Below are 20,080 nucleotides of genomic sequence, written 5' to 3' on the forward strand. Positions count from 1 at the left end.
TATCAACAGTTCTGGGTCTCCAGCTTGCCCACTGCAGACCATGGGACTTGTCAGTCTCCATAATCACGGAGCCAATCACTTATAATAAATCTTTCTGTATATATGTACAAATCCCATTGGCTCAATTTCTGCTAAGAACCCTAATTGCATTGGTCAGGGTTCTCTAGAGGAACAGAACTAATAGAAGATATATATATGTATAGATAGATACAAATAGATATATATATATAAAGGGGAGTTTATTAAGTATTAACTCACATGATCACAAGGTCCCACAATAGGCCGTCTGAAAGCTGAGGAGCAAGGAGAGCCAGTCTGAGTTTCAAAACTGAAGAACTTGGAGTACAATGTCCGAGGGCAGGAAGCATCCAGCATGAGAGAAAGATGTAGGCTGGGAGGCTAGGCCAGTCTAGTCTTTTCACATTTTTTTTTTTTCTGCCTGCTTTATATTCTAGCCATGATGGCAGCTGATTAGATGGTGCCCACCCAGATTAAGTGTGGGTCTGCCTTCCCAGCCCACTGACTCAAATGTTAATCTCCTTTGGCAACGCCCTCACAGACACACCCAGGATCAATACTTTGCATCCTTCAATCCAATCAAGTTGACACTCTATATTCCATCATGCTAATACACTCGGCAAGGTAAAATTTGCTTATGTTCGATTTAGTAAATACTTCCAAACAGTTTTCTTAGGGGCTGTACAAATTCATACTCATACCAGCAATGTATGAGAGTTCTGGTTGCTTCCCATCCTTATCAGAACCTGGCATTTTCTTTTTTAAACTATTTTATTTTAGCCATTCTCTGACTTAATTTTTCTCTTTCTAAAATAAATACATTAAATATATTTACCATTGCAGTAGGCTATATAGAGGATTAATAAGGCAGGAGCTTTTTAATTTTAGTATGAAGCAAAAGTATTAATAAGTGTTATTAATAGCTAGAGAAGACCAGGCGTGGTAGCTCACACCTGTAATCCCAGCACTTTGGGATGCCAAGGTGGGTGGATCACTTGAGGACAGAAGTTCAAGACCAGCCTGGCCAACACGGTGAAACCTCATCTCTACTAAAAATACAAAAAAAAATTAGCCAGCTGTGGTGGCACACACCTGCAATCCTAGCTACTCGGGAGGCTGAGGCATGAGAATCACTTGAACCTGGGAAGTGGAGGTTGCAGTGAGCTGAGATCACGCCACTGCACTCCAGCCTGGGTGAAAGCAAGACTCTGTCTCACAAAAAAAATAAAAAATAAAAAATAAAAATAGCTAGTGAAAAGAAAATCAAAATCATTTACAAAGCTCTTCTAACCAAGTGCCTCCAAAAAAGGTTGGTTTCATAATCTTAACTCTTGTTCATAAACATAATTAGAACCAGTTGTAATAATCTGTATTGGTTTTGTCAAATCACTGCCCTTTAAGTTAACAGCAGCCTATATGATAATTGTAAGTTAGTGAAAAAATGTCTTATCACCTTATTCAAATTTCACTCTATATTAATATGTTTCAAACAATAAACCTATGATGATATATTTTTAAATTCATTCACACTGCATGCCTTGGAGGGTGAAGATATGGTCCATAGGAGGTTACGAATGAAGACTCAATAAATGTTAAATAAGGCAATGAAAAGAGGTTTTTATGAGAAAATAACATTTTCATATACCTCTATATACTTGGAATAAAACCAAATAGAAATCCTAACTCCTAATTTGTGCTCTAGAAATGAAAGAATACTTCTTAATTTTCTAAACCTAGCAATAAGCAATCTGAAAATAAAATTTAAAAAGCAATTCCAGGGCCGGGCACAGTGGCTCACGCCTGTAATCTCAGCACTTTGGGAGGCCCGACACGGGTGGATCACGAGGTCAAGAGTTCGAGACCAGCCTGACCAACATGGTGAAACCCCATCTCTACTAAAAATACAAAAATTAGCCAGGCACGGTGGTGGGTGCTTGTAATACCAGGTATTCAGGAGGCTGAGGCAGGAGAACTGCTAGAACCTAGGAAGCAGAGGTTGCAGTGAGCCGAGGTCGCGCCATTGCACTTCAGCCTGGGTGACAGCGCGAGACTCTGTCTCAAAAAAAAAAAAAAAAAGCAATTCCCTTTCAGCCAGGCGCAGTGGCTCATGCTGTAAAACCAGAACTTTGGGAGGTCAAGGCAGGAGGATCGCTTGAGCTCAGCAGTTCAAGACCAGCCTGGGCAACATAGAGAGACGCCAGCTCTACAAAAAATATAAAAATTAGCTGGGCGTGATGTTGCACGCCTGTAGTCTCAGCTACTAGGGAAACTGAGGTGGGAAGATCACTTGAGCCTAGGGGTTTCAGGCTGCAGTGAGCCATGATCATGCCACTGCACTCCAGGCACAGTGACAAAGTGAGACCTTATCTCAAAAAGAAAAAAAAATTCAATTTCAAATAGCATCAAGAAGAATAAAATACTTAGGAATAAATTTAACAAAAGAGGAGTCAAACTTGTACTCTGGAAGCCACAAAATATTATTGAAAGACATTAAAGAATTTCTGAATATAGAAAGACATCACATGTTCATGGATTGGAGAATTTAATATTGATGGGATAACACTTCCCAAATTGATCTACATATTCAATATAATTGCTATCAAAATTCCAGTTCCTACTTTCTTACAGAAATTGACAGGCTTATCCTAAATTCACATGAAAACGGAACAAATCCAGAAAAATCAGACAACTGTGGAAAAAAAGAGCAAAGCTGGAGGACTCACACTTCCCCAATTTTAAACTTACTACAAAGCTGCACTTGTCAAGACAGTGTAGTACTAGTATAAAAATAGACATAGAGACCAAAAGAACAGAACTAAGAGTCTAAAAACAAACCCTTACATTTATGGTCAATTGATTTTCAACAAGAGTATCAAGATAATTCAGTTGGGGGTATGGGGGAAATAGCCTTTTTAACAAATGGTACTGGAACAACTGGATATCCATATGCAAAAGAATGGAGATGGGACCCCTTCTTACATTATACACAATAATTAACTGAAAATGGAACATAGATCTAAATGTAAGAGCTAAACTTGTAAAATTATTGGAAGAAGGTATAGAAGTAAATCTACATGAACTTACAGTTGGCAAGGTCTTCTTGCATATGACATTAAAATCTCAAAAGACAAAAAAAAAAAAAAATAGAGAAACTGAATGTCAACAAAATTTAACTTTTGTCCTACAATCAAGAAAGTAAAAAGATGACCCATAGAATAGAAAATACTTGGAAGTCATATGTCTGATAGGGGTCTTATGTCTAGATTATGTCAACCTAAAATAGTGACAACGAAACTCTCCAAAAGAAAATTTTATTTGGGAGTGACAGGCGATTGCAATCCAGGATATGTTTGCTATAACAGATCAAAGGCATATACAGATAGGATGAAGTAAGGTGAAACTTTTAAAGGCAAAGAGGAGAGGTCTACGTAAGCTATTTTGAAACAAAAATCATTAGTTACAGGGGCCAGTTGTAGATGCTGGTGCTAATTCATTGTTGGAGACAGCCATTGCTATGCAAATGTTCGTCTTGTGAGAGCGGCTTATCTAGAATGCTGAAATCCATGAGGAATTTCTTGCAATAAACCCTGTTACAGATGTGTGCAGAATATGCAGGATGACTAAGACATGTAGGACATACAGGAATTTCTTATGAGTTTTTTCTGGGGATTTTTTTTTTTTTTTAATGAGACATAGTCTTGCTCCATCACCCAGGCTAGAGTGCAGTGGCGCAAACTTGGCTCACTGCAACCTGCCTCCCAGGTTCAAGAGATTCTCCTGCCTCAGCCTCCTGAGTAGCTGAGATTATGGGCGCCCGCCACTGCACCCAGCTAAATTTTGTATTTTTAGCAGAGACGAGATTTCACCATCTTGGCCAGGCTGGTCTGGAACTCCTGACCTCATGATCCACCCGCCTTGGCCTCCCAAAGTGCTGGGATTACAGGCATGAGCCACTGCGCCCAGCCTCTTATGAGTTTTTAGAAGATCCTTGTGATAGTTCTTATCTCAGACATACAAGCGTGAGACCTTCGTCATGACCTCCCGGTTCCACTTTGTTTGGGTCGGATGTAAGTGACTCTACCACAGCATTGGTGACTTTCACAAATTATATAAAGAATTCTTACAACTCAATAATAAAAAGAAAAATAACCCAACAAAAAATTGACAAAGAAGTTGAAGAGATATTTCTCCAAAGAAAATACACAACAGCCGATAAGCACATGAAAAGATGCTCAACATCATTAGTCATCAGTAAAATGCAAATCAAAATGACAATGAAATACCACTTCATACCCACTAGAATGGCTATAATCAAAAATCATAATGACAAGTGATGATAATGATGTGAAGAAATTAGAATTCTCAAACATTGGTGGTAGAAATGTGAAATGATGTAGCAACTTTGGAAAACAGGTTGGCAGTTCCTCAAAATATTAAATATAAAGTTACTTTATGACGCAGCATGTCCACCCCTAGGTATATGCTCAAAAGAAATGAAAACATGTCCACCCAAAAACTACACAAATGTTCACAGCAGCATTTTCATAAAAGCCAAAAAGTGGAAACAACCCAAAGGTCCATCACCTGATGAATAAACAATATGTGACATATCCAAGTAATGGAATATTATTGGACCATAAAAAGACAATGAAGTACTGATACATGCTACAACATGGCTAAACTTTGAAAATATCATGCTTAAATGAAAGCAGCTAGATATAAAATAGTACATATTACATGAATCAATTTACGTAAGAAATATCCAGAATAGACAAATCTATATAGGCAAATCTAGGCAAAGTAGATCAGTGGTGGCCTAGGGCTAGAGGAAGGAGTATGTGGGTGCAACAGGGGATGACTGCTACTGAACATAGGGTTTGTCTCTGAGATAATGAAAATGTTCTATGATTAGACAGTGGTGATGGCTGTCCAAGTCTGTGGATATGCTAAAAACTACCGAATTGGATAAATTATATGGTATGTGAATTAAATCAATAAAACTGTTTCAAAAAAAAAGAAAATAGTTGAGGCTGGGTGCCATGGCTCATTCCTGTAATCCCAGGACTTTTAGAGGCTAAGGATGGTGGAAAGAAAATTTTTTTAATAAAAATAAAAGTTTTAAAAATGAACCAAGGACTGTGATTAATGCAATTCTGTGCACCTTAAGTCCAAATGAAAAAGGGAAAAAAGACAAGAAATAAAGTGTCAGCTAAAGAATCATGAGATCTATAGATCTATAAATTTGAAAAGGAGATTTTCTTTTTTTTTTTTTTTTGAGACGACGTCTCACTCTGTCGCCCAGGCTGGAGTGCAGGGGTGCAATCTCGGCTCACTGAAACCTCCACCTCCCGGGTTCAAGTAATTCTCCTGCCTTAGCTTCCCAAGTAGCTGGTATTACAGGCACACACCCCCATGCCTGGCTAAGGAAAGGAAACCTTCTAAAGACTTGAAGTGGCAGGCCGGGCACGGTGGCTCACGCCTGTTATCCCAGCACTTTGGGAGGCCGAGGTGGGCAGATCACAAGGTCAGGAGTTCAAGACCAGCCTGACCAACGTGGTGAAACCTTGTGTCTCCTAAAAATACGAAAATTAGTCAGGTGTGATGGCATGCACCTATAATCTAATGCTGAGTCAGGAGAATTGCTTGAACCTTGGAGGCGGAGGTTGCAGTGAGCCTAGATGGTGCCACTGCCCTCCAGCTTGGGCAACAGAGCAAGATGCCATCTCAAAAAAAAAAAGGCTTGCAGTGGCTAGGTGAGGTGGCTCACACCTGTAATCCCAACACTTTGGGAAGCCAACGTGGGCAGATAGCTTGAGCCCAGGAGTTCAAGACCAGCCTGGGCAACATGGTGAAACCCCATCTCTACAAAAAATATAAAACTTAGCCAGGCATGGTAGTGCAAGCCTGTAGTCTCAGCTACTTGAGAGGCGAGGTGGGAAGATCACCTGAGCCCGGTAGGTCAAGGCTGCAGTGAGCCATGATCGCACCACTGCACTCCAGCCTGGGTAACAAAGTAAGACCCTGTCTCGAAAAACAATAAAAAGTAAAAACTGGCATTGCACAATATAAAGATAAATGTTAAAAATCATGCTATTAATAGATATTAACAGTGTAAAATCAGAACATATTTTCTTTACGTGGTGTTCTTTCTAAAAATTATTTTATTAAGTGTTAAAACATTTCTAAGGGCTTTCAAAGATAAATTCTGAACATCAGACTCTCATGTCTATTTTTCCCATCATGCCTTAAGTTTCTTAAATTATCTTACTACCAAGGTGTTCAGGAAATTAACCTGTACTATTATATTTGGATATAATATTCAAAACCCTAAGATCATCAAGAATTAGTATCTACAAATATCTACTACAGACGTGAAGAAGAAAAAAAAAGCTTAAGGCTCTCGGAGACTTTATATTCTGTCTTATTGCATAACTTTTGCTTGGAAACAAAAGGAAGACTAACACCAGAAATCATGCTGCAAGACCAGAACATCCTTTGGATGTCTAACCTCTCAGGTGATATACTTTCAACTGTAATTTAAGAAGGAAAGAACATAAAATACCTACAGAAGTTACCCAAAGGAAAAAACAGAAAATAATCAAAGCCTACAAATACAAAAAATCAGCAAAACCCAAAGGTAGACAGCAAGAAAGGGTAAGACAACCAAAAAAACTATAAGACTAACAAAAAACAACAAAATGGCAGTAGTAAAATTCTTCCCTATCAATAATCACTTTAAATGTAAATAGATTAAACTCTAGTAAAAGCCTGAATAGATTTAAAAACAAAAAAGATCCAACTATATGCTATTACAAGAAACTCTCTTCAGATTTAAGGACACACATAGGCTGAAAGTAAAGAGATAATTAGATATTCCATGCAAATAGTAATCAAGAAAGAGCAGAGATAGCTATACTTACATTGGGAAAAACCGTCACATGAAACACAAGACATTCATCATTTCTCATTATAAAAAAGGACAAGTTTTTGTTTACAAAGGACAGAAATAAAAGAAAAAAACAAAATTTAAATAAAAGACATTTGACAATGATAAAAGGATCAATCCACCAGGGAGATATGACAATTATAAGTATACATGCAACCAACATCAGAGTACATAAATATATAAAGCAAACACTGACAGAACTAAAGGGAGAAATAAACGGTAGAATAACGATTGGAGACTTCAATACCCCATTTTCAATACTGAACAAAACATCCAGACAGAAGATCAATAAGAAAACAGAAGACTTCAATAACACTGTAGACCAAATGAATCTAATGATATATACAGAACATTCTCCTCAATGGCAGCAAACTACACATTCTTCTCAAGCAAACAGGAATACTTCTCCAGGAGAGAACACAAGATAGGTAACAAAACAAGCCTTAGCAAATTTAAGAAGGCTGAAATCATACTAAGTGTATTTTCTGACTATAAAAGAATGAAAACTGAAAAATTTACAAATACATGAAAAGTAAACACCACATTCTGAACACCCACTGGATTGAAAAAGAAAAAAAGGAAATTAGAAAATATCTCAAGATGCCGGGCGCAGTGGCTCACGCCTGTAATCCCAGCACTTTGGGAGGCCAGGGCAGGTGGATCATGAGGTCAGGAGATCGAGACCACCCTGGCTAACACGGTGAAACCCCATCTCTACTAAAAATACAAAAAATTAGCCAGGCGTGGCAGCAGGCGCCTGTAATCCCAGCTACTCGGGAGGCTGAGGCAGGAGACTGGTGTGAACCCAGGAGGCAGAGCTTGCAGTGAGCCGAGATCGCGGCACAACCTGGGCGACAGAGCGAGACTCTGTCACAAAAAAAAAAAAAAATCTCAAGACAAATAACAAAAACACAATATACCAAAACTTATGGGATGAAACAAAAGCAGCAGTAAGAATGAAGCTCATAACAATAAATGCTGACATTAAAAACAAGAAAAGTCTCAAATAACCTCACTTTACAGCTCAAGGAACTAGAAAACTAAGCCCAAAGTTGCCAGAAGGAAGAAGTAACAAAGATTAGAGCAGAAATAAATAAAATAAAAAATAGAAAAATAGGGAAAAAACAACAAAACTAAGAGTTGGTTTTTTGAAAAGATTTAAAACTGAAAAACCCTTAGCTAGACTAAGAAAAAAAGAGAAGACTCAAATAAGAAAGGAAAGAGACATTACAACTGATGCCTCCAAAATAAAAAGGATCATGAGACTACTAAAAACAGCCATATGCCAACAAACTGGATAATCTAGAAGAAATGAATAAATTCCTAGAAACATAACACCCTACCAACAAGACTAAATCATGAAGAAGTAGAAAGTCTGAACAAACCTATAAGAAGTATGCAGACTGAATCAGTAATCAAAAACCTCCCAAAAGAGAAAAGCCCAGGACCAGATGGTTTCATTGATGAATGCTACCAAACACTTAAGGAGCAATTAGCACCAATCTGTCTCAAACTCCTTCAAAAAACTGAGGTGGAGAGAACACTTTCAAACACATTTTACAAAGCCAGCATTTCCCTGATACCAAAGCCAGACAAAGAAGCCATAAGAAGAGAAAACAACAGGACAATATCCCTGAAGAATACAGATACGAAAATCCTCAATGAAATAGTTGCTCACTGAATCCAACAGCACATTAAAAGGATCATAAACCATGACTAAGTGGGATTTATGCCTAGGATGCAAGAATGGTTCAATATATGAAAATCAGTTACTGTGGTACACCACAATAACAAAATAAAAAGATAACAATCCTATGATCATCTCAATAGGCAGAAAAATCACCTGAAAAATTCAGCACCCTTTCATGGTAAAAACTGTCAACAAACTACAAACAAATGGAAATTATCTCAATGTAATAAAGGCCATATATGAAAAGCCCACAGCTATCCTACTTAATTGTGAAAAACTGAAAGGTTTCCCACTGAGATCAGGCACAAGGCAGAGATGTCCACTCTTACTTACTTTTATTCAACATAGTACTAGAAGTCCTACCTAAAGCAATTAGGCAAGAAAAAGAAATAAAACGCATTCAAATCGGAAAGGAAGAGGTAAAACTGTCCATTTGCATAAGACATAATCTTAGATATAAAAAACCATTTAACAGTTTTTTAAAACTGTTAGAACCAATAAATTTAGCTTTGAACACTGGCAGTATCGTAGCCAGTCAGGTTTATCTGAGGTGTGATTACTGCTGATGGAAAACTTTTCCTGATACCCTGCCATGATGACTTGTAATGCAGTGAGCACTGGCAATTTTTGACAGTCTCCATGGAGACTGAATTATAAAGAAAAAAAAACTAATAAATTCAATAAAGTTGCAGGATAGAAAAATCAACATCCACTAATAAACTATCTAAAAAGGAAATTAGTAAAACAATCTCATTTACAATAGCACAAAAAAAGAAGAAAATACCTAAGAATAGGCCAGGCATGGTAGCTCATGCCTGTAATCCCAGCACTTTGGGAGGCCCAAGCAGACGGATCACCTGAGGTCAGGAGTTCGAGACCACCCAGACCAACGTGGAGAAACCCCATCTCTACTAAAAATAAAAATTTAGCTGGGCGTGGTGGCGCATGCCTATAATCCCAGCTACTTGGGAGGCTGAGGCAGAAGAATCGCTTGAACCAGGGAGGCGGAGGCTGCAGTGAGCCGAGATCGCATCATTGGACTCCAGCCTGGGTAACAAGAGCAAAACTCCGTCTCAAAAAAAAAAAACAACCTAAGAATAAACTTAATTAAGGAGGTGAAAGACCTGTATCCTGAAAACCATAAAACATTGATGAAAGAAATTAAAGAAAGCTACATTTGGAGGAAAAACGGCAGATGGGAGGCAGGACTAGATTGCAGCTCCCACTCAGACAGAGTAGTGTGTGGAGACTCACATCGTGAACCTTTGCTCCGGAACTACTGCAGGAAAGCCTAGAGAACCGAAAGACGCTCTGAAAGAAGCAGATTGCTCCTGCAGGACCCAGGAGGCAGTCCAAATGTGTCCGGAATTGGTGGGTTCTTGGTCTCACTGACTTCAAGAATGAAGCCGCGGACCCTCACGGTGAGTGTTACAGCTCTTAAGGTGGCGCGTTGGCACGTCTGGAGTCTGTCCCTTCGTGGTCGCCAAAATGTGTCCGGAATTAGTGGGTTCTTGGTCTCACTGACTTCAAGAATGAAGCCGCGGACTCTTGCGGTGAGTGTTACAGCTCTTAAGGTGGCGCGTCTGGAGTCTGTCCCTTCTGATGTTCAGATGTGTTCAGAGTTTCTTCCTTCTGGTGGGTTCGTGGTCTCGCTGGCTCAGGAGTGAAGCTGCAGACCTTCGCGGTGAGTGTTACAGCTCTTAAGGCAGCGCGTCTGGAGTTGTTCATTCCTCCCGGTGGGCTCCTGGTCTCGCTGGGCTCAGGAGTGAAGCTGCAGATCTTCGCGGTGAGTGTTACAGCTCATAAAAGCAGCGTGGACCCAAAGAGTTAGCAGTAGCAAGATTTATTGCAAAGAGCGAAAGAACAAAGCTTCCACAGTGTGGAAGGTGACCCGAGCGGGTTGCCAATGCTGGCTCGGGCAGCCTGCTTTTATTCTCTTATCTGGCCCCACCCACATCCTGCTGATTCGTAGAGCCCAGTGGCCTGTTTTGTCAGGGTGCTGATTGGTGCGTTTACAATCCCTGAGCTAGATACAAAGGTTCTCCACGTCCCCATCAGATTAGTTAGATACAGAGTTTCCACACACAGGTTCTCCAAGGCCCCACCAGAGCAGCTAGATACAGAGTGTCGATTGGTGCATTCACAAACCTTGAGCTAAACACAGGGTGCTGATTGGTGTATTTACAATCCCTGAGCTAGACATAAAGGTTCTCCAAGGCCCCACCAGAGCAGCTAGATACAGAGTGTCGATTGGTGCACTCACAAACCTTGAGCTAAACACAGGGTGCTGACTGGTGTATTTACAATCCCTGAGCTAGACATAAAGACTCTCCACATCCCCACCAGACTCAGGAGCCCAGCTGGCTTCACCCAGTGGATTCCGCACTAGGGCTGCAGGTGGAGCTGCCTGCCAGTCCCGCGCCATGCGCTCGTACTCCTCAGCCCTTGGGTGGTCGATGGGACTGGGCGCCGTGGAGCAGGGGGTGGTGCTCGTCGGGGAGGCTCAGGCCGCACAGGAGCCCATGGAGTGGGTGGGAGGCTCAGGCATGGTGGGCTGCAGGTCCCGAGCCCCACCCGCGGGAAGGCAGCTAAGGCCGGACAAGAAATTGAGCACAGCGCCAGTGGGCCGGCACCGCTGGAGACCCAGCACACCCTCCGCAGCCACTGGCCTGGGTGCTAAGTCCCTCATTGCCCGGGGCCAGCAGGGCCGGCTGGCTGCTCCGAGTGCGGGGCCCACCAAGCCCACGCCCACCCGGAACTCCAGCTGGCCCGCAAGCGCCACACGCAGCCCCGGCTCCCGCTCGTGCCTCTCCCTCCACACCTCCCCGCAAGCGAGGGAGTGGGCTCCAGCCTCGGCCCACCCAGAAAGGGGCTCCCACAGTGCAGCGGGGGGCCGAAGGGCTCCTCAAATGCCACCAAAGTGGGAGCCCAGGCAGGGGAGGCGCCAAGAGCAAGCGAGGGCCCCGAGGACCGCCAGCACACTGTCACCTCTCACAAATGCTGTGCAGTTATCGACAGCTGAGAGACCTGCAGACGGTTCACATCACAGGACTCTGTGCAGACAACCCCAGTACCAGCCCTGCCTGGTAGACCTCCTGAGTGGCTACATCCAAAAGAGAGATAACAATCACTGCAGCTCGGCCCTCAGGAAGCCACATCCTTAGAAAAAGGGGGAGAGTACTACATCTGTGGAACACCCCGGGAGACAAAAGAATCTGTACAGCAGCCTTGAGCCCTAGACCTTCCCTCTGACATAGCCTACCCAAATGAAAAGGAACCAGAAAAACAATTCCATTAATACGACAAAGAAAAAGTTTTTTAACACCTCCAAAAAATATCACACTGGCTAACCAGCAATGGATCCAAACCAAGAAGAAATCCCTGATTTACCTGAAAAATAATTCAGAAGATCAGTTATTAAGCTAATCAAGGAGGTACCAGAGAAAGGTGAAGTCCAATTTAAGACAATCAAAAAAATGATACAAGAAATGAGGAAAGAAATCTTCAGTGAAACAGACAGCATAAATAAAAAACAATCAAAGCTTCAGGAAATAAAGGACACACTTAGAGAAATGCAAAATTTTCTGGAAAGTCTCAGCAATAGACTCAAATAAGCAGAAGAAAGAACTTCAGACCTTGAAGAGAAGCTTTTTGAATTAACCCAAGCCAACAAAGACAAAGAAAAATGAATAAGAGAAAGAAAAAAGTAAGAAAAAATGAACAACGCCTCCAAGAAGTTTGGGATTACGTTAAGTGACCAAATCTAAGAATAACTGCCATTCCTGAGGAAGGAGAGAAATCTAAAAGTTTGGAAAACATATTTGGAGGAATAACTGAGGAAAATTTCCCGGGCCTTGCTAGAGACCTAGACGTCCAAATACAAGAAGCTCAAAGAACACTTGGGAAATTAATCGTAAAAAGATCATCTCCTAGGCACATTGTCATCAACTTATCAAAAGTCAAGATGAAGGAAAGAATGTTAAGAGCTGTGAGGCAAAAGCACCAGGTAACCTACAAAGAAAAACCAGAGTAACTGCAGATTTCTCAGCAGAAACCCTACAAGCTAGAAGGGACTGGGGCCCTATCTTCAGCCTCCTTAAACAAAACAATTATCAGCCAAAAATTTTGTATCCAGTGAAACTATGCTTCATAAATGAAGGAAAGATACAGTCTTTTTCAGACAAACAAATGCTGAGAGAATTTGCCACTACCAAGCCAGAACTACCAGAACTGCTAAAGTAGCTGTAAATCTTGAAACAAATCCTGGAAACACATTAAAACAGAACCTCTTTAAAGCATAATTCTCACAGGGCATATAAAACAAAAATACAATTAAAAAAAAAAAAAAACAAGGTATATAGGCAACCAATAGCACGATGAATGGAATAGTACCTCAAATCTCAATATTAACATTGGATGTAAATGGCCTAAATGCTCCACTTAAAAGATACAGAATTGCGGAATGGATAAGAATTCACCAACTATCTGCTGCCTTCAAGAGACTCACCTAACACATAAGGACTCACATAAACTTAAGGTAAAGGTGGAAAAAGACATTCCATGCAAATGGACACCAGAAGTGAGCAGTAGTAGCTATTCTTATATCAGACAAAACAGACTTCAAAGCAAGAGCAGTTAAAAAAGACAAAGAGGGACATTATATAATGATAAAAGGCCTTGTCCAAAAGGAAAGTATCACAATCATAAATATATATGCACCTAACACTGGAGCTCCCAAATTTACAAAACAATTACCACTAGACCTAAGAAATAAGACAGACAGCAACACAATAATAGTGGGGTATTTCAGTACTCCACTGACAGCACTAAACAGGTCATCAAGACAGAAAGTCAACAAAGAAACAATGGATTTAAACTATACCCTGGAACAAATGGACTTAACAGATATTTACAGAACATTCTACCCAACAACCGCTGAATATATATTCTATTCATCAGAGCATGGAACTTTCTCCAAGACAGACCGTATGATAGGACACAAAACAAGTCTTAATAAATTTAAGAAAATTGAAATTATACCAAGTACTCTCCCTGACCACAGTGGAATAAAACTAGAAATCAACTCCAAAAAGAACCTTCAAAACCAGACAAATACATGGAAATTAAATAACCTGCTCCTGAGTGATCATTGGGTCAACAATGAAATCAAGATGGAAATTTTAAAATTCTTCAAACCAAATGATAATAGTGACACAACCTATCAAAACCTCTGGGAGACAGCAAAGGCGGTGCTAAGAGGAAAGTTCATAGCCCTAAATGCTTACATCAAAAAGTCTGAAAGAGCACAAATAGACAATCTAAGGTCACACCTCAAGGAACTAGAGAAACAAGAACAAACCAAACCCAAACCCAGCAGAAGAAAGAAATAGCCAAGATCAGAGCAGAACTAAATGAAACTGAAACAAACAAACAAAAAAAATACAAAAGAAAAATGAAACAAAAAGCTAGTTCTTCGAAAAGATAAATAAAACTGATACACCATTAGCAAGATTAACCAAGAAAATAAGAGAGGATTCGAGGCTATTATAAACACCTTTAGACACATAAACTAGAAAACCTAGAAGAGATGAATAAATTCCTGGAAAGATACAACCCTCCTAGCTTAAATCAGGAAGAATTAGGTACCCCAAATAGACCAGTAACAAGCAGCAAGATTAAAATGGTAATTTTAAAAATTACCAAAAAAAAAAAGTCCAGGACCAGATGGATTTATAGCTGAATTCTACCAGACAAAGAAGAATTGGTACCAATCCTATCGACACTATTCCACAAGATAAAGAGAAAATCCTCCCTAAATCATTCTATGAAGCCAGTATCATCCTAATACCAAACCAGGAAAGGACATGACCAATAAAACAAACTACAGACCAATATCCTTGATGAAGACAGATGCTAAAATCCTTAACAAAATACTAGCTAACCGAATCCAAAAACATATCAAAAAGGTAACACCATGATCAAGTGGGTTTCATACCACAGATGCAGGGATGGTTTAACATACGCAAGTCGGCCGGGCGCGGTGGCTCATGCCTGTAATCCCAGCACGTTGGGAGGCCGAGGTGGGCGGATCACGAGGTCAGGAGATCGAGACCATTCTGGCTAACACGATGAAACCCCGTCTCTACTAAAAATACAAAAAATTAGCTGGGCGCGGTGGCAGGCGCCTGTAGTCCCAGCTACTCGGGAGGCTGAAGCAGGAGAATGGCGTGAACCCGGGAGGCGGAGCTTGCAGTGAGCAGAGATCGCGCCACTGCACTCCAGCCTGGGCGACAGAGCGAGACTCCACTCAAAAAAAAAAAAAAAAATACGCAAGTCAATAAATGTGATACACCACACGAACAGAATTAAAAACAAAAATCACATGATCATCTAAATAGACACAGAAAAAGCATTTAACAAAATCCAGCATCACTTTATAATTAAAACCCTTAGCAAAATCTACATACAAGGGACATATCTCAATGTAATAAAAGCCATCTATGACAAACCCACAGCCAATATAATACTGAATGGAGAGAAGTTGAAAGCATTCCCTCTGAGAACTAGAACAAGAAAAGGATGCCCACTCTCACCACTTCTATTCAACATAGTACTGGAAGTCCTAGCCACAGCAATCAGACAAGAGAAAGAAATAAAGGGCATCCAAATTGGTAAAGAGGAAATCAAACTGTTGCTGTTTGCTGATGATATGAATGTATACCTAGAAAACCCTAAAGACTCCTCCAAGTAGCTCCTAAAACTGATAAATGAATTCAGCAGTTTCAGGATACAAAATTAATGTACACAAATCAGTAGCTCTCCTATACATCAACAGTGACCAAGCTGAGAATCAAATCAAGAACTCAACCCCTTTTACAACAGCTGCAAAAAAACAAATAAATAAAACACTTAGGAATATACCTAACCAAGAAGGTAAAAGGCCTCTACAAGGAAAACTACAAAATACTGCTGAAATCATAGATGACACAAACAAATGGAAACACATCCCAAGCTCATGGATGGGTAGAATCAATATTGTGAAAATGACCATACTGCCAAAAGCAATCTACAAATTCAACACAATTCCCATCAAAATACCACCATCATTCTTCACAGAACTAGTAAAAACAATCCTAAAATTCATATGGAACCAAAAAAGAGCCCGCGTAGCCAAAACAAGTCTAAGCAAAAAGAACAAATCTGGAGGTATCACATTACCTGATTTCAAACTATACTATAAGGCCGTAGTCTCCGAAACAGCATGGTACTAGTATAAAAATAGGCACACAGACCAACGGAACAGAATGGAGAACCCAGAAATAAACCCAAATACAGCCAACTGATCTTTAACAAAGCAAACAAAAACATAAAGTGGGGAAACGACACCAACAAATAGTGCTGAGATACTTGGCAAGCCACATGTAGGAGAATGAAACTGGATCCTCATCTCTCACCTTATATAAAAATCAACTCAAGATGGATCAAGGACTTAAATCTAAGACCTGAAACTATAAAAATTCTAGAAAATAATATCAGAAAAACCCTTCTAGACACTGGCTTAGGAAAAGATTTTGTAACTAAGAATCCAAAAGCAAATGCAAGAAAAACAAAGATAAACAGCTGAGACTTAATTAAACTAAAGAGCTTTTGCATGGCAAAAGGAACAGTCAGCAGAGTAAACAGAAAACCCACAGAGTGGGAGAAAATCTTCACAATCTATACATCTGACAAAGGACTGATATCCAGAATCCACAATGGACTCAAATTAGCAAGAGAAAAACAAACAATCCCATCAAAAAGTGGGCTAACTGGCCGGGCACGGTGGCTCACGCCTGTAATCCCAGCACTTTGGGAGGCCGAGGCGAGCAGATCCCGAGGTCAGGAGATCGAGACCATCCTGGCTAACATGGTGAAACCCCGTCTCTACTAAAAACACAAAAAATTAGCCAGGCGTGGTGGCAGGTGCCTGTAGTCCCAGCTACTCGGAGGGCTGAGGCAGGAGAATGGCGTGAACCCGAGAGGTGGAGCTTGCAGTGAGCCAAGATCGCACCACTGCACTCCAGCCTGGGTGACAGAGCGAGACTCTGTCTCAAAAAAAAAAAAAAAAAAGTGGGCTAAGGACATAAACAAACAATTCCCAAAAGAAGATATACAAATAGCCAACAAACCTATGAAAAAATGCTCAACATTACTAATGATCAGGGAAAAGCAAATCAAAACCACAATGTGATACCACCTTACTCCTGCAAGAATGGCTGTAATCACAAACAAAAAATAATAGATGTTGGTATGGATGCAGTGAAAAGGGAACACTTCTACACTGCTGGTGGGAATGTAAACTGGTACAACCACTATGGAAAACAGTGTGGAGATTTGTTAAAGAACTAAAAGTAGAACTATCATTTGATCCAGCAATACCACTACTGGGTATCTACCCAGAGGAAAAGAAGTCATTATACAAAAAAGATACTTGCATACACGTTTATAGCAGCACAATGTGCAGTTGCAAAAATGTGGAACCAACACAAATGCCCATCAATTAACAAGTGGATATAGAAACTGTGGTATATGTAACTATGGAATACTACCCAGCCATAAAAAGGAATGAAATAATGGCATTCACAACAACCTGGATGGGATTGGAGACTATTATTCTAAGTGAATTAACCTAGGAATGGAAAACCAAACATCGCATGTTCTCACTCATAAGTGGGAACTAAGCTACGATGATGCAAAGGCATAAGAATGACACATGGACTTTGGGGACTCAGGGGGAAAGGGTGGGAAAGGGGTGAGGGATAAAAGACTACAAACTGGATTCAGTGTATACTGCTTGTGTGATGGGTGCACCAAAAGCTCACAAGTCACCACTAAAGAACTTAACTCATGTAACCAAAAACTACCTGTTTCCCTAAAACCTATGGAAACAAAAAATTTAAAAATAAAAAAAAAAGAAATTAAAGAAGGCACAGACAAAGGGAAAGACACCCTATGTTCATGGATTGGAAGATTTAATATTGTCAAAATATCCATAATACCCAAGCAATTTACAGACTCAATGCAATCCCTATCAAAATCCCAATGGTATTTTTTTTTCTGAGACGGAGTCTCACTCTGCCACCAAGGATGGAGTGCAGTGACACAATCTCAGCTCACTGCAACCTCTGCCTCCTGGGTTCAAGTGATTCTCCTGCCTCAGCCTCCCGAGTAGCTGGGATTACAGGCATGCGCCACCACGCCCGGCTAATTTTTATATTTTTAGTAGAGACAAGGTTTCACCATGTTAGCCAGGCTGGTCTCAAACTCCTGACCTCAGGCAATCCACCCGCCTCGGCTTCCCAAAGTGCTGGGACTTCAAGCATGAGCCACCACGCCCAACCCCCAGTGGCATTTTTTTTTAACAGAAATAGAAAAAATAATTCTAAAAGTCTTATGGAATGACAAAAGACTATAAATAGCCAAATTAATCTGGAGAAAGAACAAAGTTGGTGGCATCACACCTCCTGATTTCAAAATATATTATTACACAAAGCTAGTTATCAAAATAGTATAGTACTGACATAAAGACAGATATATAGAACAACGGAACAGAACAGAGAGCCCAGAAATAAATCCATTTATGTACAGTCACCTGATCTTACACAAGGCTGCAAATAATACACAACGGGGAAAGAAAAATGTCCTCAACAAATGGTGTTGGGAAAACTGGAGATTCACATTCAAAAAATGCAGTCTTCTCTTACACCATACACAAAAATCAACTTACAAAGGATTAAAGACTTAAATGTAAAACATGAAACTATAAAACTCTCAGAGAAAAACACCGAAGGAAGCCTTCACAACACCGGCCTTGGCAATGATTTCACGGATATAACATCAATAGCACAGGCAATAACAACAAAAATATGTAAGTGGGAATACATAAAACTAAAAAGTTTCTGTACAGCAAAGTAGACAATCAACATAGTGATGGAAATGAGAGAAAATATCTACAAACTGTATATCTGAAAAGGGGTTAATATCCAAAATATCTAAGAAACTCCCACAGCACGAAAGTAAAAACAACTAGTAACTTGATTAAAAAACAGGCTAAGGACTTGAATAAAGCATTTCTCTAAAGACATACAAACAGCCAACATGTATATGAAAAAATGCTCAATGTCACCAATTATCAGGGCAATGTAAATCAAAACCACAATGAGATATCACCTCACACCTGTTAGGATGGCTATGATTAAAAAAAAAAAAAGAAGACGACAAGTGTTGACAAGGCTGAAGAGAAATCGGAACCCTTGCACACTTGGTGAGAATGCAAAATGATGCAGCTGCTATGGAAAATATGTGGGTTCCTGAAAAAATTAAAAACAAAACTACCGTATGATTCAGCAATCTCCCTTCTGAGTATTTATCCTAAGAATCACCATCACAATCTCAAAGAGATATTAGCACTTCTATATCCACTGAGGCAATATTCACAATAGCAAAGATGTGGAAACAACCTAAATGTCTATTAACGGATGGATAATGAAAATGTGGTATACAATGGAATACTATTCACCTTTAAAAATATTTGAAAAAAGGACACTCAGCCAGGTATGATGGCTCATGCCTATAATCCCAGCACTTTGGGAGGCCAAGGCAGGAGGATCACTTGAGCTCAGGAGTTTGAGACCAGCCTGGGCATCATAGTGAGACATCGTCTCTACAAAAAATAAACAAAAAATTAGCCAGGCATGGCAGTGGGTGCCAGTAGTCCCAGCTACTTAGGAGGCTGAGGTGAGAGGATCATTTGAGCCCAGGAGGTCAAGGCTGCAGTCACCACATTCCAGCCTGGGAAAAAGAGTGAGACTCCATCTCAAGGGGGAAAAAAAGGAAATTCTGCAAAATGCAACAACATAGATGAATCTTGAGGACACTAACCTAAGTGAAAAAAAGAGAGTCACAAGAAGACAAATACTGCATGATCCCACTTATATAAGGTATCTAAAATGGTCAAATTCACAGACTCAAAGAGTGTAAATGGTGGTTCTCAGGGGCAGGGACAGGGAAGGAAATTGAAAGTTACTAATCAATGGGCATAAAGCTTCAGTCAAGCAAAATGAGTAAGCTCTAGAAATCTGCTGTGCAACATTGTACCTATAATCAACAATATAATTGCACACTTAAAACTTTAAGAGGGGCTGGGCGCAGTGGCTCACGCCTGTAATCCCAGTACTCTGAGAGGCCGAGGCAGGCAGATCACGAGGTCAGGAGTTCGAGACTAGCTGGCCAACACAGTGAAACCCCGTCTCTACTAAAAATACAATAAATTAGCTGGACGTGGTGGCAGACGCCTGTAATCCCAGCTACTCAGGAGGCTGAAGCAGGAGAATCACTTGAACCCGGGAGGTGGAGGTTGCAGTGAGCCGAGATCACGCTATTGCACT

General features: G+C 40.4%; 1 protein-coding gene and 1 pseudogene across 28 annotated transcripts in view, besides 3 other annotated features; one reads left to right on the plus strand and one right to left on the minus strand.

The window, feature by feature from the left end:
* LMBR1 (limb development membrane protein 1) overlaps positions 1-20,080 on the minus strand; it is a 224,172-nt gene that overhangs the window by 193,907 nt on the left and 10,185 nt on the right. The gene's annotated exons all lie outside the window — the stretch shown is intronic.
* Positions 1,801-1,995: a silencer, noted in NCBI's record as "fragment chr7:156657413-156657607 (GRCh37/hg19 assembly coordinates)". NCBI's record gives its function as "represses an EF-1alpha promoter that drives an FKBP-Casp9 reporter gene in an ReSE screen in K562 erythroleukemia cells {active_cell/tissue: K562}" and the evidence as "EXISTENCE:reporter gene assay evidence [ECO:0000049][PMID:32094911]".
* RNU4-31P (RNA, U4 small nuclear 31, pseudogene) lies at positions 9,160-9,300 on the plus strand (annotated as a pseudogene).
* Positions 10,138-10,380: a silencer, noted in NCBI's record as "fragment chr7:156665750-156665992 (GRCh37/hg19 assembly coordinates)". NCBI's record gives its function as "represses an EF-1alpha promoter that drives an FKBP-Casp9 reporter gene in an ReSE screen in K562 erythroleukemia cells {active_cell/tissue: K562}" and the evidence as "EXISTENCE:reporter gene assay evidence [ECO:0000049][PMID:32094911]".
* Positions 14,907-15,127: a silencer, noted in NCBI's record as "fragment chr7:156670519-156670739 (GRCh37/hg19 assembly coordinates)". NCBI's record gives its function as "represses an EF-1alpha promoter that drives an FKBP-Casp9 reporter gene in an ReSE screen in K562 erythroleukemia cells {active_cell/tissue: K562}" and the evidence as "EXISTENCE:reporter gene assay evidence [ECO:0000049][PMID:32094911]".

This window comes from Homo sapiens, chromosome 7 (genome assembly GCF_000001405.40).
Source record: "Homo sapiens chromosome 7, GRCh38.p14 Primary Assembly".
Taxonomy (NCBI): domain Eukaryota; kingdom Metazoa; phylum Chordata; class Mammalia; order Primates; family Hominidae; genus Homo; species Homo sapiens.